Source organism: Homo sapiens, chromosome 3 (genome assembly GCF_000001405.40).
Source record: "Homo sapiens chromosome 3, GRCh38.p14 Primary Assembly".
In the NCBI taxonomy this organism is placed as follows: Eukaryota; Metazoa; Chordata; class Mammalia; order Primates; family Hominidae; genus Homo; species Homo sapiens.
Window position 1 is genome coordinate 125,022,319 of NC_000003.12, and position 19,854 is coordinate 125,042,172.

Genomic DNA, 19,854 nt, shown 5'->3' on the forward strand with positions numbered 1-19,854 from the left:
TACAAACATTTCCTTGAAGACCAGTCCTATGTGCAGTTGTGAGCAAAACCACAAATAAATTTTAAGTATCACTACAGCGAGAGAGAGAGAGAGAGAGAGAGAGAGAGCATGCATGGGAAACAAAAAGGTTCCTCTCATTCTTGTGCAAAACCATAAAACCAGCTATATCCAGAACACAGCCGGCAGCTCTGGTCACCCCACCTTAATGGAGACAAAATGAAGATGCAGGCAATCTATAAAACTAGTAATGGAAACAAGAAACAGAAAGACCTGGACACAAAAATAGAGTCCCAGACCACCAAAACCCACCTCTACTTAAAAACATAAACCAAACTAAACAAAACAAACAAAACACACTTCAGTATTAAAAAAAAAAAGAAATAAATAAATAAAAAGAAAAGAAAGCATTATAGATATGCCCCAAATCCTCACTCAACCATGTGACTTCTCAGCCCTAACTTCATTAGAGTCATCATTTATATCCACCAAATTACAGCCTCATTAGCTTGCTAGAGGTTCTTTCAAAACACTTTTATTCCCAGGATACTGCATTAATTTCATCCATTCAACATTCCCATCAAAATCCAGTGGTCGGCCGGGTGCAGTGGCTCATGCCTGTAATCCCAGCACTTTGGGAGGTTGAGGCGGGTGGGTCACCTGAGGTTAGGAGTTTGACACCAGCCTGGCCAACATGGTGAAACACCATCTCTACTAAAAATACAAAAATTAGCCGGCTGTGGTGGTGGGTGCCTGTAATCTCAGCTACTCGGGAGGTTGAGGCAGGAGAATTGCTTGAACCTGGGAGGTGGAGGTTGCAGTGAGCTGAGATTGTGCCACTGTACTCCAGCCTGAGCCAGAGAGAGAGACTTGGTCTCAAACAAACAAAAAAACAAACAAAAACAAAACAAAACAAACAAACCAAAAAAACTCCAGTGGTGATACTGAATTCAGCCTGAAAAACCCAGGCCTGTCCATCTCTAGTGGATTTAGCAAATCAATGGCCACAGAAATATAATTACAAAAGTCACAAATGCTGAAAGTCATGAAAGGAAAACTGCTCTGTTTTTCCCTGACTCTGAGAGCTCTGCAGAACATTGCTTCTTTATCTCATTATCTCATCATTATCATCATTATCAAAAACTACCATTTACTGACCAATTATGACTTGCAAGGCATTGGGCGAAGTACATTGTATACAAATCTCATTTAATCCTCACGGGAAAGCTATGAAATGTGTGTGAATACTTTGGCAGAGTTGGTGACTCTTCGTAAAAAGAGAAAATGTTTGGTCAAACTAATCTACAAACACCACTTATATTACTAAATGAGCACCTGTTAAATAAATCTGGGGGAAATGTACCACATTTCTAATCAACAGGCTGGATTCTTGGTTATTTAATAATTGCCCTTCTTGCTCATTTCTACCCCGAAAGCAGCCATTCAACGACGGAAAGACCATCCATCTGGGAGCAGAAACAAGCCAAATTCCTGATCTTTATAATGGGAGGTTGCAAGAATGCCTACTCGTCTGCTAAAAGTACATGGGTCTCTCTTCAATCACAGCACAAAACACTGGAACCTCAGGAACACATCGGAACGCTCAACCTTGACCTGACTGCTATCCAGAACTTGCCGAAAGTACAGCTGAAGCAGCTATTTGAGAAAGATACGTCACATCTGCAATCTTCTGAGTTATTTATGCTCTCTTTCTTTACAAAGTGAAATCACCACAAAGCAATTTACCTGGACCACAGTAGCTTAGCCACCCACAGAAATACTTTCATAAGTTGAGATACATTATTATATCCTCAGCTCCTATTGAGAATCTATATAAAATATCACCTTTTAAAGAACATTAGCTCAATTTCCACAAAACAGCAATTGAAGGCATTTTCCATTATGATTCTCAACATTTCTTATATAAACAGTCCTCTTAAAATGTACTGCCCCCAAACACTTATGCCTATGGATGAAATTGTATGCTTACTTTATCTGAAAACAATTGCATGCCCCACCCGGTTTCCCTTTGTGCCCTGGTTTCCAGGAAGCTCAGTACTAAATTTAGTGCTCAATTGTAGCCACTCTCACACAATTCAACATACACATATCTCTTTCCACCTTCAAAAGGGAGCTTTTTTCCCTGTTCGTTGCTTTGTTTGCTTTTCCCTCCGATGATCAAATAGTACAATGGTCATTATTAAAAAATATGGAACACATAGAAGGACATAAAGCAGCAAAAGATGTAAAGCAGCAAGAAAAACAATTTCCAATGGTTTCTGATCTCTTTTTAAAAATCTGATTCCATTGCCTAGGCCTATACTTGCTTTAACACTGTAAGGCATACAATTTGGTTTTGGAAGCAGGTAACTCCTGACTATCCCAGCCTCGGAAGAGGTTATGTTGCATGCATGTTTCTGTGTAGCTGAGTGAAGAGTGAAACGAGGCACAGAATACAAAGGCTGAATACACGTGGAATCATAGATGCTGAAACTAGAATCTTTCAGATCATCTGGTCAAATTCCTTCATGTTCCAAATAAGGAGCCACCTCCTCTCCATGCCAGGCTCCTAGCTATCTTCCTTGTGTTCACCTAGTGAGGCGCATCACTCATCGGACTGGTGTAAGCGCCAGGCTTTTCACAGGGTCATATTTCCTAGTGGGTGGAGTGGCCAAGTGTTCACCTCCTTTGCTTTTGTTTTTCCAGAGCTGGCCAGCCAGGCTGAGCCGACTCCAGGTCTCCCTGGCAGGTCCTGCTGGCTCTCTCTCAGCACTCTTGCCTGAGTGCCTAGAGCTCCTGTATCGTGTAGTCAGAAAGGGACAGTAATGTCTCAACATTTAGATTCAAGGGGAAGACTCTGGTTAGTGGGTTACCAGATGCCAGCCCAGCTTTAAAAACAAAGCAGAAGTTTGTTTCCCATGTAACTTCAGGTCTTTGTACATGTACCCTCTGCATCCCCACGGGGAGGAGGGGAGGTTGGCAGGATGGATTCAGACATACTTGGATGCCTGGTGAGAACCCCATTTAACAGCACCCAGAGCCATCTCTAATATCTAAAAGGGTGGTGGGACTCTACCTCGAACTGAACACACAGTTCACTAAAAAGGAAGAGAAGTGTTCAGTAAAAGACTCAAGAGATATGAAAGATACGATGAAACTCACCAGCAGTTAAAAGTATAAGCTTTTAAAAGGATGGATGGTAAAGAATTTCAGGGACAATTAATTTTTTAGTGTTGAAAAATATACGTGAAAAAAATATATAGGTGAATATAGAGTCATAGAGTCAAGTCCAGTAAAGTTGGAAACATAGGCTGATTTTTCAAATATACCACCAAAGTAGGTTGAATTTAAATTATAAATATTAAATGATCCTGACCAGAATCAAAGCATAGCTTCCTAAAAAATACTTCCTTTCTACCGTTTAGTAAAGTTGTAAATCACTGAACCACAGAACTTTGAGGCTGGAAGAATTGCAGCTTTTATCCAATCCAAGCAATGTTTATGAATAATCTTAAAAAGCAATCTTCTAAAAACATGAATCATGAATTATATCCAAATCCAGTCAGCAGGAAACTGTATACAGGGTATGTGGAAGAAGAATTGGCTGCTTTAAACAGGCACTCCAGAAGGGACTCCTGGGTTTAGTTTTTGCTTTGATGACACAAACCCAAACTCCTAGTCTCGCAAGTTACTTCTAAAAACCTCTGACCTGTAAAAATTTTGCAATGGCAATTTTGGAGACAACCTAACCTCTATTTTCCAAGAACATTTCCAACCCTCTCTGTCCTGCTCCCTATGGTACGAGGATGAAAACACAAGCAGCACACACAAACACTGAATAAAACCTCGGAGAAGAAAAAAGATGGTCAGAGTTTCCAATACTCTCTTTGGCCCATGGCATGATGTGCCCTGTGAGGGTATCTGGGCACATGCTAATCCCTATGTCTTATCGGCTGCACCTTGTTCTTGGGCGAGGGGGAACCTAAAGGAAGTAACAGACACAGCCGGTGTCCTCAAGAGGATTACAGTCTCTCTGGGCAGAGAGGCATTAGATGACCTGCTATGATGAGGTGTACAGCACAGAGGACCAGATGGTTGAAGAAAGGCTCAGGAATCCCTGAGCTGAGACTTAAGTGATGAATAGTAATTGGAACAGCAGAGAGAGAGGAGAGCACTCCACAGCTGTAGTTACTAATATCACGCCTTGCAAACTCCTGCATTATATCTGCTTTTTTTTTCAAAATGATGCCTAGAAAAATGTACACTCATGTTTTCTTTACCATCGAAGGAAACATTTTTGCAATAATGAAGAAATAAAAATCTCACTCCTAATCAAATGGTACAATGCTCACCATTTCATGCACCCCAAGGTAAGGTCTCTTGTTTGAGAATAGACACCAATGGCTGGGTGTGGTGGCTCATGCCTGTAATCCCAGCACTTTGGGAGGCCAAGGTGAGTGGATCGCCTGAGGTCAGGAGTTCAAGACCAGCCTGGCCAACATGCTGAAACCCCGTCTCTACTAAAAATACAAAAATTAGCCGGGCATGGTGATGGGCGCCTGTAATCCCAGCTACTCAGGAGACTGAGGCAGGAGAATCGCTTGAACCTGGGAGGCAGAGGTTGCAGTGAGCTGAGATCGCGTCACTGTACTCCAGCCTGGGCGACAAAAAAAGAAAAACTATGTTAAACATGAGGCTCAATACTGAGATAAACTGGGTAGGTTGTACCTACTTCCACTCCAAGTACCTGGCATTAGAGGAATGGCATTTTGGCTTGATGTCTTTTCCCCTTACCCACTATTATGAGTATGTAACTAGCTGGCTATGCACATTGATTTATGTCTACTTTGAGTGACTTCCGAGTGTTAAGCTGGGTATGTGGCACTCACATGAGGAAAGGTCTAAGAGAGGAGAGGAAGCTGCTGTCCTGTAGAAATGCAGCCAGGAGAGATCTGGTCCTGAGGAATTTCTCTTCCTAGAAGGCGTGGTCAGCTCTCCCATCTCCAAAGCAGGAAGAAAGGACGGGCTCCAAGCCGAAGTGGTGGCCTCTTGGCTGTGCACAGTCCATTCTTCTGACAGCCCCATCGCCCTCTCTGTTCCCATCTCCGAGGCTGTTCCACTCTTTGTTTGAAAAGCGGCAATTCTTTCATCGAACTCTGAACTGCTGGATGGCAGGTGAAGACTTTCTGAGGCTGAAAACAGACAAAAACAATTAGAATTCCACCAGCAGACTTCAAAATGTCTTAATATGCTTTTAGGGGGCTCAGTTCTGACATCTACAAAATATACAGACATAAGAAGAAATTAGGAGAATAATTCAGTCTATGAAAAATAAACTCCTGAAAGAGACCACAGACCAAGGTCTGTGTATTAGATCTCACAAAGATTCTGTGTATTGTGGTAAAATTCTCAGAAAAGGAGCTCACTGGAGGTAAGTATCAGACAATATGGAATCAGAGATCAGGGTCTGATCATCAGGACCCAGCATCCACATTCCACCAGATTGGTCCCAGAATGTACCTGAATGCAATATAAACAAAATTCCTAATATCTGGGTGACCAAGAGGACCAGGGAATGTCATGTGCAGAGTTTCTAAGCTCTGTAGGAATCATTTATGAATACAAAAGACTTTCATATGCATCTTTACAGAATCGAGTCCCTCCCAACCAGATCTCCTGCCACTAGGACCTGAAACCATGGAGTCATCTCTGACGGCTTCATCCTTTACTTTCAGGCCATCAACAGGTCCTATCACTTTTCCTTGGTGAAGTCTCCTCTTCATCCCTGTGGCCACTAGGCCACATCGCAGCACCTGGTGTCTGAATTTCTCTGTCTGCCTGGGTGGTCCCTTTGACTCCAGGTTCCCTCCATCCTCCTACCCCCATGCTAGACATCCTGTAACCTGCCTGCCAGGCGAATCCTCCTCAAATTCACTTTAGTTATGTCACTTACTTGCTCAGAAACCTTCACTGACTCTTGTTACCACACCAAATCTAAACTGCCAGGTTTCAAAAGTCCTCCGTGATTGTCCCTAACCCCGTTCACGCAATGGTCCTACCTGTTCCTCCTCTCCTTTGTGGGCAACTGATGCCCTCCCCAAGGGAGCCTGCTGGCCTTACCACCCTACAGAGAGGCCACACCTGTCTTTCTCTCCTCTGCACCTCACTCTCGTTGTCCAGGCATTCCACACCTCAGCACCCCCACCACCTTGCTCAGATACATACACATAAGCTCTAATCCCAGTTCTGAAACCTGTTAACTGTTTGACCTACACATATTGGGACAACTAACTTCTCTGAGCTTCAGTTTCCAAATGCCTAAAAGGAGAATAACATGATCTCATAGGCTTGCTAGAAGGATTGAGAGAACAGACATGGTGGTATGTAGTAGGTCCCTAATTAATGCTAGTTTTCTTAGTCTTCTCTTCCTCCGTGCAATTTTACCCATTGAGCCCCAGCACCTTCTTGACATTCTTTGCTAAAAATAGCAAACCACCAAGCTGTGCACACCAGGGCAAGAACAACCGTTTGGGCCACATCAACACAAACCAAACCCAAGCCTGTCGCAGCTATGCATCCCACAAAACCTACTGCCTCTGAGACCCTCGGGTGTGGCAGGCTCCCTGGAAAAAGAATGAAGGTTGGATTCCACTGGCCATGGATCACAGATACCACAGGACCAGCAAATCTGCACCCTTGTCTGGTCTGTATTGGCAAGCATAATACATATGAGGCCTAAGTCACAGGTCTGACCCACCCCAGCCTAGGAACCTTGGAAGGGCACAATGGCTCAGAATGGGGTTGTGGGGAATGGCAGAAACTTTGTTTTCCAGGACTGGACACACATGCGTGAAATGCGCATCATCAGCACAAGCTCACCTAAGTTGCCACTCTGGGAAGTCAGAGCTGTTGCTATCTCCAGTGAGTACCCAACAGGCAAAATGGTGAAGTTTGTTCTACTTGAAGAGCCGCTCCTTCCTCTAGCATCTGCTGTTTCAGCGAGTAGAGTGAGGTTTTCTGGAGCATCCGAAGCAGCATGGCTCTTCCCAGAGGTCTGAACCATCACGCCCTCTTTGGAGGACACTGTTGAAAAGTCCTCTTGATTCTGATAGAAGGTGATGTTTTCTACATGGGCCTCAGTGTTACTTTCTGGCCAATGTTTCCAGGCAGCATCTGAAAGAAGAAGAGGATGCATCAGGGAGAGTTTGCTGGCTTCTGACAAGAAAAGTAAACCTTCAGAAAAGACACCGTGAAATACATCAGTAGAGAGTGAATTCAAGTAAAAGAATTTTGGCCAGGCATGATGGCTCACACCTATAATCCCAGCACTTTGGGAGGCTGAGGCGGGTGGATCACCTGAGGTCAGGAGTTCGAGACCAGCCTGGCCAACATGGTAAAACCCTGTCTCTATTAAAAATACAAAAAAATTAGCCGGTCGTGATGGCAGGTGCCTGTAATCCCATCTTCTAGGGAGGCTGAGGCAGGAGAATCACTTGAACCCAAGAGGCAGAGGTTGCGGTGAGCCAAGAACGTGCCATTGCACTCCAGCCTGGGCAACAAGAGTGAAACTCCATCTTAAAAAATAATAACTTCACCTTTCTTTTTTTCCCATATTCATTATTCTTATAATCCAGAGGAAGGAATTATGAAGCAACAATATAATACAGGATTAAATTTCATTGTGCATAGAATAAATGATGGAAATTTATTGATAGAAAGAGATCAACATGGGGCTCATGGAAGAGCAACTGAACCTCTGGCACCTGTGCAGGGTCAGAGAGGGGATTAGAGGAGGAAGATTGGGTGTAAGCAAAAGGCAAGAAGCATCTCATATTCGCCAAAGTTGCTAACTGTGCCTCCTGGGGTGGGTGGTAGGAAGCTATTATAAAAGCTGGCAGCCCTTGACCCTGACACCTACTCTTGCAGGTGGGAGCTGTAATGCGCAATTCTGATAAAACATGAAGACTCTGGCAATATTACTGAAACTTGTGTGATGTGAATGGGTTTGAGGCAGCAATTCCAAATTGAATTTATCTGAAGGAGATACTCAAGAATGTGGACAAAGATTTAGCTGCATAGATGTTCATTACAGCATTGTTTACAGTAGAAAGAGGAAGAGAAAGAACAAACCTAAAACTCCTTCAGCAGGTTATCAATTAAATCAGTTACAGTAGACAGTATCCACAAGAAAGAAAACTATGTGGTCACTGAATTGGTGCTATAAAATAAAGATATTCTTCAGGGATTGTTGAATTAAAACAGCATGCTTCAAATAGACTTTATATGTAATGATCTCATTTTGTGAAAAATAATAATAACAGTAAATATGCATGGAGGTAGGTAGCAGACGTAGGTGCCTGATGTGTATTCATTCAAGCATTGCACAAAGATGAAGACAGGTCCTCTTATACTTCCCATTTTACATAGGAAGCAAAGGAGGCATGGAGGGTGGGGGAGGTCATGCATCTTGCCCAAGTCGCACAGTCAAAAAGCAGGAGGGCCAGGCAGCCTGCTCCAAACCCAGGCCCCTCACTCGCCAGCTGTGCTCAGCTGGAAGGGAAAATGGTGGAGAGGAGAATGGTTTCCAGTTGGGAGTGCTGAGGAAATAATGCTGTTGAGTATGGACTGTTACTTGAACCCCGTATATTAGGAATATATTTATATTAGTCAGAAAATATATTTAAATGATAGTTAACTTCCATAACACCCAAGATGGTGGCAAAGAGGGTATTAGTTAAAAATGTTCTGAGGATGAAGTTAAAGTTGGGGGTTAAATTGGGCAAAAGGAAGTCATGTGTAGCATCAAATGCCGTTTGTCAAGGCAGGAGGTTCAGGGTCAGAGCAGGTGCGTGGGATGCCCAAGTCACGTCCAAGAAAGCTGCCCTGTTACTCTGGAAAAGTCTGCACCCAACCTGGCCACTGCTTAGAAGCCAAAGCTGGGCCACTGCTGAGTGCTGGGTCACTGCTGGGTGCCAGGCCCCTAAAAAATAGTACCAAAACCAAACAGCATTCTGAGAACACTGTCCTTTCCCCATACATCCAAACTAATTTGGAATCCAATATCAAATATGGGTGCCAATTGAGGGACACTGAGCAAGGGTGAGGACAGGGCCACATGAAGTTGTCACTGATTACGTGACTCCCTGATAAAACCATTTAATTTTCCCCACTTGGAAATGTTATTTCTCTTTCTGTTTGGGAATGGGGACTGTGGGCATTGGTGAGAAACCTCTGTGGGGATGAATGGAATCACTTCGATTTATATGAATCAAACAAAAATGGCAAACCATCGGACAAGTAGAGGCTGCAGGTAGAACCTACAGTTTGTATCTAAATACCACACACACACACACACATACATACATACACACACACACACCCACATATACCCCCCACACACACACATACACACACAGGCACACATACACACACATACACATGCACACATACACATATACACACATACACATACACTTAAACACCTACACACACAGGCATGCATACACACACACACACGCACACACACATACACACGGAACAAGTTATCTTTCAGATCAGTGCTGCCTAAGAGATACTGAGTCACAAACACAATCCACATGTGTACACTTTAAATTTTCTAGTAGCTGCATTTTTAAAATTAAAAAATGTGAAATTAATTTCAATATTAATATTTTATTTCACTCAACATATCCAAAAGATTATCACTTCAATATGTAACTGATATAAAAATATTGAGATATTTTATATTCTTTTTTTGGTGTTAAACATTTAAAATCCAGTGAATGTTTTAGGAGCCACATCTCAAGAGCTCCATAGCCACACGTGGCTGGTGGCTGCGTCAACCACACGTGGCTGGTGGCTGCATCACTTGCCAGTGCAGTTCTAGATCAATGGTTCTGAACATTTCTCCACTCTGATTCACTCCTTCTAGAAGCAGTGGCTCACTTATTTGGGGTTAGGGGGTGAAGATTATAAAAAACTTCCAGAAGACATTCTGACAGGCTTTCCTGAGGGAATCACTTCCTCCCCAAATCCCTTGAGATAACTGTTTTTATGCCTCCTGTTCTGTTTCCTGTGGGTGATAATTAACAGAGGCTTCCTGGAGGGGGAGGGAAGTTGCCATGCCTCTGGGCTCCTCTGGGGCCCAGTTCCAGACAGGCAAGACCCACATGCAGCTAGAAATGGGATGTGGAAGGGCGTTTCCAGGGGCAGCCACAAGGCCTGTAAGTTCAGCTTGAGAGACTGGGGTTACAGACAACAGTGGCCCACAGGGCATGTCCCTTTGTTCTACCTCTGGGAGCTGCGAAGGCAAGCTGGTCTCCTGGGAGGAGGTGAAAGGTCTGAGGATGCTTTCTGTCTCCTCTTGGCTAACTGTGCACAATGAGACATTATTCTCCAAGGAAGACAGAGAGAAGTGATTGTAGGGAAGCAGAAGGCACTCAAAACCCATGCCCCAAAGCTGGCCAGCTCTGAGCAAAGGGAAGGCAATGAACTTGGCTCCATTACAACCTTCAGACAAGGTGAGACTCAGCCATTGGTGAGTGTGGCGGGGCCTTTGAGGAAGCAGCTTTGTTCCCTTCCTCTCCAAGGACCAGGATTGGAAGTCCCAGAGCCCATTCAGCTCAGGGAACTCCAGTGCAGTCTCCGAGGGGAAAAGAATGGCCACATGCAGACAGGGCAGGACCCACACTGACCTGCGCTCTCTTCCTAGAGGGGTGACTAAAGATGTAAGAAAGAAAAAATGCACACCATAAACAAAACTGAAAGGTAGACAACAGTCCTGCAGTATCCTCCATAACCCTGCCACTATAAACAACTCAAAATGCTGAATAAAATATTTTTTTAAAAAAATTTCTAAAAGCACTGCTGAGCTGGCAAGTAAGTAAAGAATCAAATCTGAGGCCAAAAATGAACCATGACTAGGAATCCAGAGAAGTGAGCTAATGTTGAGGCTGGCAGCTGCCCTGGAGGCACCTGTTCAACATTTGTGACCTTGAATTTCTGTTCTGATGGCTGCCAAGAATCAGGAGATGGGAGCCACGATTCTCAAGGAGGGAATCCAACGGGAAACCACTGTGTAAAGCTGGGACTTTACACAGCTATGCCTTGGGTGTAAGGCAAATAGAAACAAACCGGCCCCGCAGAAGGGCACAGCAAGGAAACCTGGCCCTTCAATCTTGGTTTCAAGTGAAAGAAAAAATAAATCTCACCCGAGTATATATAATCACAAAGCTAGCCCTCGTATGGGTGTGCTGTATGTCACATTACCTCTGTGGTCTAAACTGAGGATGTATTTACGAGTGGTCCTGAATCCTGGGAATGTACTAAAACCCACCGAATTGTATACTTTCAAAGGGTAAACTTTATGGCATGTAAATCAGGGACCTCCAAACCCAGGACATGGACTGGTAGCGGTCCGCGGGCTATTAGGAACCAGGCTGCACAGGAGGAGGTGAGCAGTGGGCGAGCGAGCATTACCGCCTCAGCTCCGCCTCCTGACAGATCAGCAGTGGCATCAGATTCTCAAAGGAGCAAGAACATTATTGTGAACTGCGCATGTGCGAAAGATCTAGGTTGCATGCTCCGTATGAGAATCTAATGCCTGATATGATCTGAGGTGGAAGAGTTTCATCCCAACCCCCGGCCCACCCCACCCCGCCCTATCCGTGGAAAAATTGTCTTCCATGAAACCAGTCCCTGGTGCCAAAAAGGTTGGGGACCACTGATGTAAATTATATCTCCAATACACACACATCCTGTTAATAATGGGGCAGGGGCGGTCCTGATGGATAGTGCCTCCAGGTACCTGTATTGTGTAGACACAAATACAAATGCTCTCTAGATAAACATATCTTCAAACCAGTTTTTATCATTTATTGAGAAAACGAGGCATCCATGAGGAAACAAGACATCCACACCTCTTTGTCTGGTAATTCTAGTAGTTGAAGTCTTTGCTTGTTAAACAATTGCCAACAAATTAGAGAAGCAAAGACTTCAAATGCTAGAATTACCAGACAAAGAAGTATACAAAATTACATTAGAAAAAATTTTTTTAAAAAGAGACTATAAATAATAACCCAAAATATTTGAAAGAAAGCTAGATGGAAATTCTAGAAATAAAAAAAGTAATAATTGAAATTTTAAAAACTCAACAACAGATTAGATATGGCCAAAGTGAGAATTAGAAAATAATTATAATTCACTAGGCATGGTGGCTCATGCCTGTAATTCTAGCACTTTGGGAGACCAAGGCAGGAGGATCACTTGAGCCCACGAGTTCAAGACCAGCCTGGGCAACATAGTGAGACCTTGTCTCTACAAAAAAATAAACAAAATTAGCTGGGTGTGGTGGTGCATACCGGTGGTCCCAGCTACTTGGAAGGCTGAGGTGGAAGGATTGCTTGAGCCCGAGACATGGAGGTTGCAGTGAGCTGTGATTGTGCCACTGCACTCCAGCTTGGACAACAGAGTGAGACCATCTCAAAAGAAAAAAAAATGAATTAGAAAATAAATGATAACAGAATGCCCAAAATGAGATTAAAAAACAGAAAATATGAAAAAGAGGTTAAGAGACAAAAAGAGTGAGAAAGTCCAACACACAACTGATTGGAGTTTAGGAGGAGAAAACAGAGAAAGTAGAAGTGAAAACATTGATTTAATTTTTATTTTTTTATTTGAGACAGAGTCTCACTCTGTCACCCAGGCTGGAGTACATCTCAGCTCACTGCAGCCTCCACATCCTGGGTTCAAGCAATTCTCATGCCTCAGCCTCCTGAGTAGCTGAGATTACAGGTGTGCCATCACACCTGGTTAATTTTTTTTGTATTTTTAGTAGAGATGGGGTTTCACCCTGTTGCCCAGGCTGGTCTCAAACTCCTGACCTCAGGTGATCTGCCCACCTCAGCCTCACAAAGTGTGGGGCTTACAGAAGTGGTAATATTTTAAAAGGTAATGGCTGGAAAATTTCCCAAACTAATGAGAACTATAAATCTTCATTCTAAGGAGGCTCCTTAGAGTAAATTAAAAACGAAACATGTACCTCTATCATAGTGAAACTGCACAAAAACCACAGACTAAGAGTAGGTCTTAAAAGCAACCAGAGGGGAAAAAAATGGCAAATCATCTATACAAGGTGACAATTACAGCTGATTTCTCAACAGTGACAATGGAAGCCAAAAGACAGTGGATAAATATTTTCAACGTGCTGAGAGAGAAAACTATAATCGTATATTCGGCAAAGCTATCTTTGAGAAACATCTTCAGACTATCAAATAAAAACACGTTCAGTCAAAATTGAGTTTTTCAACCATTTCTACTACAGTAAATTATAACAAATTTCTTTCAAGCAGAAGAAAAACAATTCTTAATGAAAGATATCAGATGCAAGGCAATATAATGAGCAAAAAAAATACATGTGTGAATAAATCTAAAGGAACACTGAATTTATGAAATAATAACAATAATTTCTCATTTGTGAAATTAATAAAACAAGTCAGAACAAATCCTAGATAACAATAGTTCGTAAGTCTGGCATGGGATAATTAGAATCATGTTGCATAGCAGAAGCGTAACTTTGAGTTCTGTGAAAAATGCATTTAAAATACCTCTCTAAAGAACAGAAATAGAGGCCTGGCATGGTGGCTCATGTCTGTAATCTCAGCACTTTGGGAGGCTGAGGTGGGAGGATTACTTGAGGCCAGCCTGGGCCTCAAGTAGAGATTCTGTCTCTACAAAATAAAAAAAAATTAACCAGGCATGGTGGCACATGCCTGTAGTTGCAGCTACTTGGGAGGCTAGGGTGGGAGGACTGTTTGAGCCTAGGAGGTCAAGGCTGCAGTGAGCTATGATGGTGCCACTGCACTCTAGCCTGGATGACAAAGCAAGACCCTGTCTCAAAAAAAAAAAAAAAAAGAAAAGAAATGGAGTGTGTCACTTCCAAACTGGCAGAGCTTGGAATGATACAAAATTGTCATAGAGAGAAATCAGTGAATACTGTCTAAAACCAAAATTAAAAAAAAAATCAATAAATAGCAACATAAGCAGGTTAGAGATATGGAAAAAATTACTAAGATAATCAGTTAAAAAAGGGTTGAGAATGGTTAATTCTGGGGAACAGAAAATGATGATAATAGGAGTGGTCAGAGTTTTTATTACAGTCTTATACAATCTATTTGATTTTCAAACTATGTATAAGTCTGATAAAAATAAAAGCTATATTTGCAAAAAGTTGAATGACAAACAAGGGTAAATGTCTGCAGTGCCTGATAAAAATGTTTAGCATCCTTAACACATAAAGAACTTTTTCAAATCCCTAAGATGTACCCCTTGTAGACAAAGAACATGAATGTGCAATTCACAAAAGGAAATATATAAGTGGAGAATAAATACATGAAAGCATTGTTGAAAAGCATGGAAATACAAACCCAAACTAGAAAAGACCTTTTACATTACTTTTGTATTTTTGTGTATCAAATTGGCAAAGACTTAAGAATAATATCTAATGTCATCACAGGTACTTTCATACGATATTGGTAAAAATACAATTAACACAGTCCTTTTGGTGAGGAATTTGGCAATCCATTGCAAAAGCATTAAAAATAGGCATATATTTTGGCCCAAGAATTCCATTTCTGGAAATCAGTTCTAAGGAAATTATTAGGAAGGGTGCAAAGTTTCGGGTATAAGGAAGTTTATCACAGAATTGTTTATAATAATGAAAAGTGGAAACAACCTAAATTTCTACAATAGGGAGGTGGTTAACTTAATTATGAGATAACATTTTAAAGGATTGACCAAAATACATTGTTGATACAGTTTTTCTTATGTATTATGCTCACACTATACTGTCAAATGCAAACATAAATTATAAAATAGTATGTATCATATGATTCCATGTTATTAAAAATATATCTATGACAAATTGTCTCCTAAGAAAAAGAACAAAAATGGTTGGTATCTTGATAAAAGGATCCCAGGTCTACGGACCTGGAGAAGCCACTTAGGAATGGGCTTTCTGGGGTCCCCAGATGGCCTCCTAAGGTAGGTGAAGTCTGTAGACCTTTAATAGAAAGTTGGCTCATGCAACTTGCTACTAACAAAGTGTGTAGGTAGGAGTTCCAGTGACATTTCTGAAACATAATGTAAGCATGTGAGTGGCTTTTGATGGCATAGCTGAAAGACTGATGAGTTTCCTTGTGCCTCAGCTGCTCTGCCCCTGGATGCCTAACTACACTCAGTAACAGTCATGGCCATAACTGGTAGCCCATGACCACCTCTGCAGAGCAGCTAGACACCAAATACACCCTTGGTTAGTGCAGCCACTGCTGGGCCCTGCTGGCCCCAAAGAGCTGCCTTCTGTGGTTACACCTCCACTTCTCCTTAGTCAGTGGGTACCAAAGTCGCCTGCACTGGTGAGAAACTACTGCTTTCCGTGTCTCTAGAAATTCAATTCTTAATAAGAGAGGCAGTGGGGGAATACACAGACTGTGGTTCAAGTCAGACCATGTAGGTTAGACTTCTGGCTCCACCTCTTTCATACCCTATGATCTTAAGTGAGATCCTTAATTGCTTCATGCCCCAGCTTGCCTTCTGTAAAATGAGGATATTAACAGCATCTCCCTCACTGGGTTGTTGTGAAAACCAATGGAATGTAGACATGTAAGAGCTTAGAAAGAGTGCCTGGTACACAGTGAATGCTACATATGTCATAGCTATTAAATGGATTTAGGGTTGTCAACTTTTAAGAAATAGATTTGGGTGGATGACCTTGGCAGGCACTGCTAATCAATCAAAGCTCAGTGTCCTAACCCTTCTTCAGGTAGTGGACCACAGCCCATACCAGAGTGGCCCCAGGCTCCCAAGCCCTCTTGGAAGCTAGGAATCCACTCTGACAAAAGCACTGAGGCTAGACAAATGGCTGCAGGAACAGTTTGGGCCTCGCTGAATTCCACTCCACGACACCTCTCCTAGGAGGTATAGGGAGAGCTTAGGACGCACAGCGTGAGACCTGGGACCACCTCCAGCACAGCAAGCTCTTGAAGTCACTGGCCTGGTACCCCAAAAGAACAATATCCCACTGTCCCCTATTGAACTCCGGGTACCCCTCTATCTCTCTTATTGCCTACTAACTCTTCCTTGGAAAGGGATTAATAAACCACATAGCTGGAGCAGGCAACACCCCCAGCCCACCCCTACTGCCACTGGAGGTCTTGTTTGACTGTGAACATCCAAGCGCTTTACACCATTCCAGGTGGCATCGCAGTGGGGACAATGGGTCAAATGCTAAAATATGTACTGAAGTCCAATGACTGATCCTTTCTGAAGCCCTGAGTTCATCAGGGCCACTGTGGATGAATTCTGTTTAGGGCATGGCTCCCTATTCAGCACCTGTGTACACCCTGAGTAGGAGAGTAATTTGGAATAAACCTGCCACATGGAGGGCGAGGTGTCAAAGAACCTGCTCTTATTCTTGGTGGAGAAGAGAAACGGCCCTGGAGAAATGGAAAGGAGACGGGATTCCTCAAGCTTCAGAGCCTGGGCCCAATGAAGTCAGGAGTAAGGAGAAGAGGCTGTGCCCCCTCAGACATTCATGGGGTGGGAGGGGGCACCCTGGAGGCTTAGTAGGCTGGTGCTGTGCACCTCACCCAGGCCAGCTTCGCAGATGGTCAGAGACAATCATTCAAACCCCATTCACACCAACCCTCCTCATATTGGAGATTAGACATCCCATTTCTCAGGTATCTTTTGAGCTGAAAATACCATCCTTCCCTCTGTACTTAGCCCCCTGTGCTGGGCCATAACTTTCCCTTGTACCATGAATGGAGATTAAATTAACAAGAGCGTTTTATTGCTTGCTTTGCCTGTTTTTTTTTTCCTCCTAATTGACAACTTCCACTTCTGTAGCGTCTTAATGTTCCAAAACATCTGTTTGTGAACCAGCATCATCAGGGATGCTAGCACAGCCCAAGAATAGGATTTCCTAATTAGCAGCTGCTACAGAGTCAACTCCTTGCCACCCCCCACTCCCTGCCAGTGATTTGGGGCTTTTCAGTTTGCATTGTTTCTGAGCAGTGGAGTGAGTAGGAGCATACAGGGAGTGTGCTGTCTTATCCAAAGAGGTAATTTCCTCCTGGAGGGTCCACCCCACCCCCACACCTCAGCCTCAACCCCCGCAGCGGGCCAAATGACAAGCGCTGCCAGCTACAAGCTTCTGGGGCACACAATTGAAGAACAAGCCCTTTATTTTCTTTTCCCTCCATTTGGATTCAGATTTCACTAACATCTATTTAGGGCTTACCACGTGCTAAACATTTTCACATGCATTATCTCATTAATACCCTGTCAAGCGGGTATTATTATCCTCATATAGCACATGGGGAAACTGAGGGTCAGAAAGATTAAGTGATTGTTCCAGGTCACGCACTCACTAGCAGTACAGACACAGTCTGAACCTAGGGCTCATTCCATCACACTCCAGCTTATTCCATGAGGCTTTAAGGCACTGGCCAAAAGAACAGAGCCAAAAAAAAAAAAAACAACAAAAAAAAACAAGTCCCCCACAAAAAGCCAAACTGCAGCTTGAAACACAACTGTGCTGACCTTGTTTCTCTCTAAGAGGAATGAAATGGTGCCTATCACACGGGCTTTGGAATCAGACAGACTTGATTTGACAACAGCTGCACATTATTAGCTGGAAGACTGAGCAAGAGGACTTCTAGATCAGCTTCTAACTCAGAGAGGATTTTTACGCATAACGAAAAGAATAAGAGAGAAAGAGTGGAGCCATAACGGAGAATGAGCTTGAGGAACAAGAAAAGTCTGTTTTTGATATGTGACGTTTGGGGTGATGTTACAACTTCCAAGGGAAAATGTCTGGCAGACAGTTAAAGATTTGGGACCGTTGATTAGGAGAAAGGACAGGATATGACATACGAAGGGAAAAATCAAGGATCAAGGACTGATTCCCGGGAAAACTTGAATGTAGAGACAGGAGAAGAGCCAGTGACAGAGACGCAGATGACAAGGGAAGGATAGGACAAAATTAAAGGTAGGAGCCAGTGAAGAGGAAGGCAGTGAGACCAGCCCTACAGAAAGTCCCTAGGTCTTTCTAGGGTGTCGCCTGGTAGAAGAAAGATGAAGGTCATATTGCTCAAAAGGGAGCGGTTCCAGAACAGTAAGACACTGATGCTCAGCTGTGGAATTGCCCGTTCCTGCCTCCCCGGTAGAGCATTCCTGGGATCCTCAATTTGGGGACTGGTGGACCACAATCAAATGAAAATATAACATTGTCTTAGATACCAGCAATGGATCCTTATACCTATGAGAGTGGGTTTCTTTGTCATTTTAAAACATTTTCCTAAAATTTAATTGTTCACACAGGGAGGGGAGAAAACAGGCTTTTTTTTTTTTAAAGGACTTTTAGCACCCTCCTTTAAAATTCCCCTTTGAGTATGATGGATGGCCACAGACTGAAGAGGGGCAGACTACTGTTCACAGGTCCTTTCCAGGAGAATGAATCTGTGCTTCTCTTCCCACAGATCAAATTAAGAAAAAAATTCCCATGCATTTTACAATCGACAAAGCACTTTTCACAGGATAATTTCATGGCCTAAATTATCCCTTTAGATTCTGACCCTCTGAGTGGCAGGCAGGAGGGTAATTCTTGCCCTATTTTACAGAAGTGGAGACTGAGGCTCAGTACATAAGTCACCTGCCCAGGTTAACCCAGAAAATAGGTGGCAGAGCAGAGACTAGAGCCCAGCTCCTTCATTCCAGTGTCTTTCCTAACTGACCACTTTCAAATGAAAACCAGTGAAGATTGAGCAGAGAGAAGCTCTTGCTAAACTGATTTCCGGCGTGTGGCAAGCTCTACTGACTAGCATCCATACTGCTTTACATCCTTCATTCTGGCCAAAGTTACCTGGATTGTCTCTGGTGCCCCCATCCCTCTCCAAAGGTGACCACTACCCTTAGGGACCATAGCAACCAAATAACCTGACCTTCACAGGACTGAGGTCCAAGAGGTATAGTAACAGTTTCAAATCTGCAATACACCAATGAGTAGCATTTATAAATTCAAAAAATATTTACTTTCATACCCATTAGGAAGGCTATTATCAAAAAGGAAGAATGGAAAAGAAATGCTGGCGAGGATATGGAGAACTCAGAACACTCCCGCAGTGCTGGTGGGAATGTAAGATGGTGCAGCCACTGTGGAAAACAGTATGGCGGTTCCTCAAAACCTTAAGAGTTATGAGTTGATCCAGCAATCCCACTTCTGGGTCTATATGCAAAAGAATTGAAAGCAGGAACTCAAACAGACACTTATGCACCCATTTTCATAGCAGGATTATTCACAACAGCTAAAAGATGAAAGCAACCCAGCTGTCTATCAGTAGATGAAAGGATAAACAAAATGTGGTATATACGTACAATGGGATATTATTCAGCCTTCAAAATGAGGGAAATTCTAACACATGCTACAACATGGGTAAACCCTAAAAACATGATGGTAAGTGAAATAAGCCAGCCACAAAAGGACAAATATTACATGATTCCACTTTCATGAGGTATCAAGAATAGGCAAAATCACAGAGACAGAAAGCGGAATAAAGGTTTATCAGGGGCTGGAAGCAGGGAGGAACAAGAAGTTATTATTTAATGAGTTTCTATTTGGGATGATGAAAAATTTCAGTAAACAGATGGTGACGATGATTGCAACAACATTGTGATTGTACTCAATGCCACTGAACTGTATACTTAAAAATGGTTAAAATGGTAAATTTTATGTTGTGCATATTTTACTACAATAAGAAATGTATGTATTTACTAGGCCAAACGCAGTGGCTCATGCCTGTA

The 19,854-nt window shown here is 42.9% G+C and overlaps 1 protein-coding gene across 1 annotated transcript in view; it reads right to left on the reverse strand.

The window, feature by feature from the left end:
* Nucleotides 1-19,854, reverse strand: part of HEG1 (heart development protein with EGF like domains 1) — a 90,288-nt gene that overhangs the window by 56,609 nt on the left and 13,825 nt on the right. Inside the window, exons 2-3 of the mRNA NM_020733.2 lie at nucleotides 6,877-7,170; nucleotides 4,887-5,189 (exon numbers count right to left, since the gene is read on the reverse strand). Of these exons, the coding sequence (NP_065784.1) occupies nucleotides 4,887-5,189; nucleotides 6,877-7,170 (597 nt within the window). The remainder of the gene's footprint in view (nucleotides 1-4,886; nucleotides 5,190-6,876; nucleotides 7,171-19,854) is intronic.